Source organism: Homo sapiens, chromosome 16 (genome assembly GCF_000001405.40).
Source record: "Homo sapiens chromosome 16, GRCh38.p14 Primary Assembly".
Lineage (NCBI taxonomy): Eukaryota > Metazoa > Chordata > Mammalia > Primates > Hominidae > Homo > Homo sapiens.
Window position 1 is genome coordinate 67,933,189 of NC_000016.10, and position 6,561 is coordinate 67,939,749.

Genomic DNA, 6,561 nt, shown 5'->3' on the forward strand with positions numbered 1-6,561 from the left:
GGTTCAGTAGAAACCTCGTCTCTACTAAAAATACAAAAAAAAAAAAAATTAGCCGGGCGTGGTGGCGGGCACCTGTAGTCCCAGCTACTCGGGAGGCTGAGGCAGGAGAATGGCGTGAACCTGGGAGGCGGAGCTTCCAGTGAGCTGAGATTGCGCCACTGCACTCCAGAGCCTGGGTGACAGAGCGAGACTCCGTCTCAAAAAAAAAAAAAAAAAAAAGGAGCGATGAATTAATGGATAGAGGGATGAATAGATGATAAAACAAATATAACAAAATATTTGCACTCCAGAGCCTGGGTGACAGAGCGAGACGCCGTCTCAAAAAAAAAAAAAAAAAAAAAAAAAGGAGCGATGAATTAATGGATAGAGGGATGAATAGATGATAAAACAAATATAACAAAATACTGTCAGGTCTGTGGTGACCTGACAGTATAAGGGTATTCAATATACAACTCTTTCTACTTTTCTGTTACATTTACAAATGTTCATTAATAGAATGTTGGGGTGCAGGGAGCACACTCAGCGGCCTGGGGATGTGCAGCCCGGCATAGACCCTCCCTGGGCCCTGGGTAGACTCTCCCTGACATTTCTGAAGCTCCAGCGGAGTTCAGCCGTTCTCGCTGAGGACAGGATGCTCTTGCTGGCACCCAGCAGCCAGGCCTGAGACTCAGCAGGGGCCCAGCAAAGGTTTGTTGGAGAAACGTGTCATCTCTCCCCATGTGAGTCCTGTGACCCTTATTAGCCTGGAAAACTTGGAGTCACAAGCCCAGCATGTGCAGACAGAAGACGAGCTTCACGTGAGCAGTGCAGGCATGCCTCGTCATCTAAGGGGTGTCACAGGTAAAGATGTTGCGAGGTTGAGGAGTGCTTGGTGAGAACTTGCCTTGGAGTCAGGGAGCGGCTCCTCTTGTCAGCACTTTAGCCCTCAGTGGGGCCTGTGGGGGCCTGATTGAAAGGTATGAGCTTTGTCCTGGGCCACTGAGGAGCCATGGAAAGTCTCTAGGAGGGGGTAGTACATGGGGTATTTCATAATTTACAAGTCTCCAGTGGACTAGAGGGCAAGAGCAAGACAGTGGAGTGGTGGGGGAGCCTTCAAGTGTGGAGTCAGAAGGAAGGTTTGGGTGGAGACCAAGCCTGCAATGCTGGCCAGGGCTGGGGTTCTGGAGTTGTAGGTGCCTGAGGTTATGGGTGAAGGGCATCTCTTAGGCCAGACACTAGAGCTATGGTAGGTAATGGCCCCTGCAGGGACGCCTTAGCTACAGAGCCCTGCTGGCTGCCTGCCCACCCCATTCCACTCAAGAATGACACAGCCATCTGTTTAACTGTATTTTCTGGGTTTATTCCCCCTTGTTCCAAGCTCTAAGCCTCAGCTTACTCCACCTCCATAGCCTGCACAGTTTCCTCCACTAGCTCCAGGGTTAGTGGCTTCACTGTCTGGGTCAGGACAGCTGTGGTTCCAGGCACAAAGTGGTAGCGGCCAGACCTGGGAGGGAGGAGGGACAGCCTCTGAACATGGGCCTGTCATGTGGCCCATCCCCTTTTTGCAGCCCCCTATCTCCCCTGCTATAGCCCCACACATCCCTGTGGTCCCCGATCTCCAGCTCTCACCTCTTCACGGGCTCTGTGGGTGAGCTCAGTGTCCGCAGCAGCTTGGCGCCAGTCTTTGTGATCACACATGCGTCCACATTGCCCCCGGAGCCCAGGTCACCCAAGATCCCGGCGGTGACGGCTTCCACCAGCAGCCCCTGAGCAGCCTCCAGCTGCGGTGATGGGTGTGTGAGACCTAACGGGCTCTCTCTGCTGTTAACTTAGGCTACAGCCTGGGGACTTGCCTGTCCACTTACCCAATCTGGTCTTGCCCTCCAAACCCCCACTGTGTTTCTCCCTCTGAGCCTTAGCCACCTCTGAGGCAACATCACCTGCTTCCATCCCACCCCAAACAAAATCTAGGCTCCAGACGTTGATATAAGTAGGACCCTACTGGTCCTTCTCTCCGCCCTCGGCTCCTAAAGATCCTCTGTGAGCTTCGACTTCTCCCAGCCGTGCAGGCTTTGGTATTGGACGGTGTTATGTCGGGACCGCACTTCTCTGCCCTTACTCCACTCACCCTTCAGTGGTCACCTCCTCCGACAAGCCTTAGCCACCCGCACTGGGCCAGGGTCCTGTGCTCCCCCAGCTCCCGGGTGCACATCCCACCAGCGACCACAAAGTCGGGGACAGAGGCCGCTCACCGTCATGTTCGGCTGGAACCGGTCTTCTAGCACCGCCAGGGCCGCGTCCTGACCAGAGCCTGAAGGCAGGAGAAGCATCTGAAGTCAACCGCTGCGACGCCGTTTGGAGTGAGGCCAAGGTCACAGGGGCAGAGTTCGAGGAGAAGGGACAGAAGCGCTCACCCAGGGCTGTGAAGGGCAGACGGCTGTAGGAGCCATGGGGATGCACACCGTAGAGCTGCGGTCCAGTCAGGTCTACGCCGCCCACGATCAGCGATGCACCCACGTGGCCCTGGTACCTGCTCGAGGATGGGCGGGGTCGGCCACAAGCTGGGGCCTAGGCCCCACCTCTCTATGCCCAGCTCCTAGGTGCTATCCCCGCCCCTTCCTGTGGGCTGGCGCCCGATGACTGACATCGCCTTTTCCTGTAGCCCAGGTTCTCTTGGGCCGGCCTCTTCCGGTCACCTGGCCCGTCGCGGTCCCGCCCTTCTTTCTGTCCCGCCTTCCAATGGCCCCAACCCCGTAACTACCCCTGCCGGGGTCCTGTTAGCCCTGCCCCCGCACCTGAAGAGCGTCTGGCGCAGGATGCGAGTGACCGTGGCCACGCGGGGCTCGCGGCCCGTAGATAACGCGTGTAGCTCCATCTTGGACGCCACCATCCGTGTGGTCATCTCGGCGTCCGCGGCTACTCCAGCCCCACAGCAGCTGAGGCAAAAGGGAGGATCGGTGTGGGCAGGGCTGGGACGTGCGGGGACCGGAGTGGGAACGAGGGGGCCGTTCTTTTTTGCGTACGGGAACTGGGCTCGGGAGTCTCACTAGATTTTGGGGGCGATGAAGTGGATCTTCTCGCAGCTCTTGTCCGCCACGACCGAATCGTTAGTGGCTCGCGTATCGGCGCCCAGAATGACCCCGTCCTGAGGAGAGGGAGGGACCGCAGCTTCAGTGCCTGCTCGATACTCTCGGCTCCCCTCCAGCTCCCCGTCCCTCCCCGCTGCTCACTTGGAACACCAGGCCCGCGATGGTGGTCCCGGTCTTGCGTGCGTGAGGGACCTTGAGCCCCGGGAGGACGCGTTCCAATGATGCATTTCTGGAAACGGAGGAGGGCGCCCATGTTTCGGCTCTGCTTTCAAGACCCCTGTTGCTTCCCCTAACCTGGTCCCCGTCTCCCTCATCTTCCGGGGTAAGCCTGGAACCCAAGTCGACCAACACACCCTCCCCCACCCCCAGCCAGGAAAAAAGGCCACGAGCAAGCAGAGGCGGCTCAGGAGTGACCGCCCCCCGCGCCCCCGCTTCACCTTTGGCAGTTCTCGAAGGAGAAGCCCCCTCGGGGCTCCAGGGCTGGCTTCAGCATCTTGGGGCAGGCAGAGGGGATTAGGGGTCGCGGGCGGATGAGTCGGCCAGACAAGCGGGGCCAGTGAGCAGCTAAAAAGTCCTCTGCTAGGCTTCACGTCTGTACTTCCTGCTTTCGCTTTCGCCTTTACCCTTCCTCAAAGGCCCGTGGCGGTTTTCTGCATCTTGTCTTTCACTTTTGGCTTCACTTGTGGCTCTGAGCATTTGGGGAACCGGGTGATGTCCCTTGCTGTGCCCTCTGTGCTGCTCACTGGGTACTCTGTTGGATAGAGGGACAAATCTCTTCCCTTCTGGACTTGTTCAGGTCCTCCTCCCCCTCCATCTGAGCCCCTTGCTCTTACCCTAGCCTCAACTCTGACCTCCAGTCCCAGCATAGTAAAGCTCTCAGAGCCTTGGCCAAGTCAGCATTGTTGCTGGCCACCCAGTAGCATCAGGCATAGCTGACTTTTGTTCCTTGTCACCTTTCTTCCAACTCTTGCCTCTTTTGTTGCCTTTACTCCTCTGCAAAAACCTCAAACAGAGGCTCAGTCCTCAGTCACAGGGACCCTGGTCTTTCCATCTTCCATCTCAGGTGCCATCTTCCCTCTCTCAAGAGGGCACCATGGGTGTTGGGTTCCACTCATGGCCAAGCCTTGTTATTTCACCTCCCCAGTGACCTCTTGTCTGCACACATCCTTTTCCTAGCACTTCTAGTCTCAGCTAGCATCCTCTCCCACCTGGACATTGCACTGGCCTCCCTGGTTACCTTGCAATTCTTGCCCCCCGCCCCCCGACCCCCAGGCTACTCCTTACCCTGCAGAGAGCGGGTCTTTCTAAATTGGAAATCTGGTCACATTCTTTCTCTGGTTTAAACCCTTCAGCAGTCTGGGCCTGGTGGCTCACACCTGTAATCCCAGCACTTTGGAAGCCCAGGAGTTCGGGGCTGCAGTGAGTATGGATCATACCATTGCACTCCAGCCTGGGCAATAGACCCCGTCTCAAAGGGGGAAAAAAAAGACTTGGGTTTGAGGCTAAGAGCAGCACGCAGCTGCCAAAGGGTTTATCTTAATTTTTTTTTTTTTTTTTTGAGATGGGGTCTTACTCTGTTGCCCAGGCTGGAGTACAATGGTGTGATCTCGGTTCACTGGAACCTCTGCCTCCCAGGCACAAGCACTCTTCCACCTCAGCCTCCTGAGTAGCTGGGACCACAGGCACACACCACCATGCCTGGCTAATTTTTTTTTTTTTTTTTTTTTTTGGTAGAGATGGGGTTTCACCGTGTTGCCCAGGCTGGTCTTGAACTCCTGAGCTCAGGCGATCCACCCTCCTCAGCCTTCCAAAGTGCTAGGCTTATAACCATGAACCACTGTGCCTGGCCTATTTTACGGTTTTTTTTTTTTTTTTTTTTGGACACAGGGTCTTGCTGTTGCTCAGGCTGGAATGCCGTGGCACCATCTTGGCTCACTGCAACCTCTGCCTCCCAGGTTCAAGCAATCCTCCCACCTCAGCCTGCCTAGTAGATTTGACTACAGCTGTGGCTACACCTGGCTAATTTAAAAATAAATTTTTTTTTTTGAGACGGAGTTTTGCTCTTGTTGCCCAGGCTGGAGTGCAATAGTGTGATCTTGGCTCACCGCAACGTCCACCTCCCAGGTTCAAACAATTCTCCTGCCTCAGCCTCCCGAGTAGCTGGGATTACAGGCATGCGCCACCATGCCCGGCTAATTTTGTATTTTTAGTAGAGACGGGGTTTCTCCATGTTGGTCAGGGTGGTCTCAAACTTCTGACCTCAAGTGATCCGCCCACCTCGGCCTCCCAGAGTGCTGGGATTACAGGCATGAGCCACCGCACCAGGCTAATTTTTAAAATTTTTGTAGAGATGAGGTCTCACTATATTGCCCAGGCTTGTCTCGAACTCCTGGGCTCAATCAAGTCAAACCCAAGTCTTTTTTTTTTTTTGAGACGGAGTCTCGCTCTGTCGCCCAGGCCGGACTGCGGACTGCAGTGGCGCAATCTCGGCTCACTGCAAGCTCCGCTTCCCGGGTTCACGCCATTCTCCTGCCTCAGCCTCCCGAGTAGCTGGGACCACAGGCGCCCGCCACCGCGCCCGGCTAATTTTCTGTATTTTTAGTAGAGACGGGGTTTCACCTTGTTAGCCAGGATGGTCTCGATCTCCTGACCTCATGATCCACCCGCCTCGGCCTCCCAAAGTGCTGGGATTACAGGCGTGAGCCACCGCGCCCGGCCGAACCCAAGTCTTTACAGTGGTCCATTACTCTTCTTGTCACTCTGACCTCAGTGTAGGCACTGCCTCCTCTGGGAAGTCTTTGCTGACCTGAAAGGCTCAGCCTCTTGTGCTTCCTAAGCTTTTCTCAGAGCATTTAGCTTCATTAGTAATTAAACTTCCATTAGTGAAATGATCTGATTAATGGTTGTCACTCCCAGATTTTAATTCTAACTTTTTTTTTTTTTTTTTTTTTTGAGACCCAGTCTCTTTTTTTTTGAGACAGTCTCATTCTGCCGCCCAGTCTGGAGTGCAACGACGTGATCTCGGCTCACAGTGACCTCCACCTCCCAGGTTCAAATGATTCTCGTGCCTCAGCCTCCTGAGTAGCTGGGACGACAGATGCATGCCACCACGCCTGGCAAATATTTTGTATTTTAGTAGAGACGGGGGTTTCTGCCATGTTGGCCTGGCTGGTCTCAAACTCCTGAGTTCAGGTGATCCGCCTGCCTCGGTCTCCCAAAGTGCCAGGATTACAGGCGTGAGCCACCGTGCCCGGCCTCTAAACACTTGTGGCCCTGTCATTCACCCAGCACTCAAAAGGTCGTCTCACCTGCCCTTTTGGGAGCTGGGAGAGACAGCTCAAATTGTCACCGCCCCCCCACCGCCCCGTGCTCCTCTGACAGGGCTGTGGGTGGAGCCAGCTCCAGTCCCCGCGCCCAGCACAGAGGCAGGCACGGTGCACACTGCCTCAACAGCTCGACCAGGAGAGTGGGCAGCTGTACATCTAGGGTGCCC

At 55.5% G+C, this 6,561-nt stretch overlaps 1 protein-coding gene across 1 annotated transcript, besides 4 other annotated features; it reads right to left on the reverse strand.

Moving 5' to 3' along the window:
* PSMB10 (proteasome 20S subunit beta 10) lies at positions 1,318 to 3,662 on the reverse strand. The gene is made up of 8 exons (NM_002801.4): positions 3,506 to 3,662; positions 3,210 to 3,297; positions 3,027 to 3,124; positions 2,775 to 2,915; positions 2,394 to 2,509; positions 2,232 to 2,290; positions 1,609 to 1,760; positions 1,318 to 1,483 (listed from the first exon to the last, which is right to left on the reverse strand). Exons 1-8 carry the CDS (start codon positions 3,559 to 3,561, stop codon positions 1,372 to 1,374), a joined length of 822 nt encoding a protein of 273 aa, NP_002792.1. The 5' UTR covers positions 3,562 to 3,662; the 3' UTR covers positions 1,318 to 1,371.
* Positions 2,232 to 2,431: an enhancer, noted in NCBI's record as "active region_10993". NCBI's record gives its function as "activates an Ori minimal core promoter by ATAC-STARR-seq in GM12878 lymphoblastoid cells {active_cell/tissue: GM12878}" and the evidence as "EXISTENCE:reporter gene assay evidence [ECO:0000049][PMID:35858748]".
* Positions 2,582 to 2,771: an enhancer, noted in NCBI's record as "active region_10994". NCBI's record gives its function as "activates an Ori minimal core promoter by ATAC-STARR-seq in GM12878 lymphoblastoid cells {active_cell/tissue: GM12878}" and the evidence as "EXISTENCE:reporter gene assay evidence [ECO:0000049][PMID:35858748]".
* Positions 3,062 to 3,341: an enhancer, noted in NCBI's record as "active region_10995". NCBI's record gives its function as "activates an Ori minimal core promoter by ATAC-STARR-seq in GM12878 lymphoblastoid cells {active_cell/tissue: GM12878}" and the evidence as "EXISTENCE:reporter gene assay evidence [ECO:0000049][PMID:35858748]".
* Positions 3,592 to 3,841: an enhancer, noted in NCBI's record as "active region_10996". NCBI's record gives its function as "activates an Ori minimal core promoter by ATAC-STARR-seq in GM12878 lymphoblastoid cells {active_cell/tissue: GM12878}" and the evidence as "EXISTENCE:reporter gene assay evidence [ECO:0000049][PMID:35858748]".

Bases quoted from the DNA above. Each gene is read 5' to 3' on its own strand.
- PSMB10 (NM_002801.4), bottom strand. From the start codon at position 3,561: ATGCTGAAGCCAGCCCTGGAGCCCCGAGGGGGCTTCTCCTTCGAGAAC. The intron at 3,298-3,505 runs GTGAAGCGGGGG...CTCCGTTTCCAG, and splicing joins TCCTTCGAGAACTGCCAAAG to AAATGCATCATTGGAACGCG. The intron at 2,510-2,774 runs GTGCGGGGGCAG...ATCCTCGAGCAG, and splicing joins CTGCGCCAGACGCTCTTCAG to GTACCAGGGCCACGTGGGTG.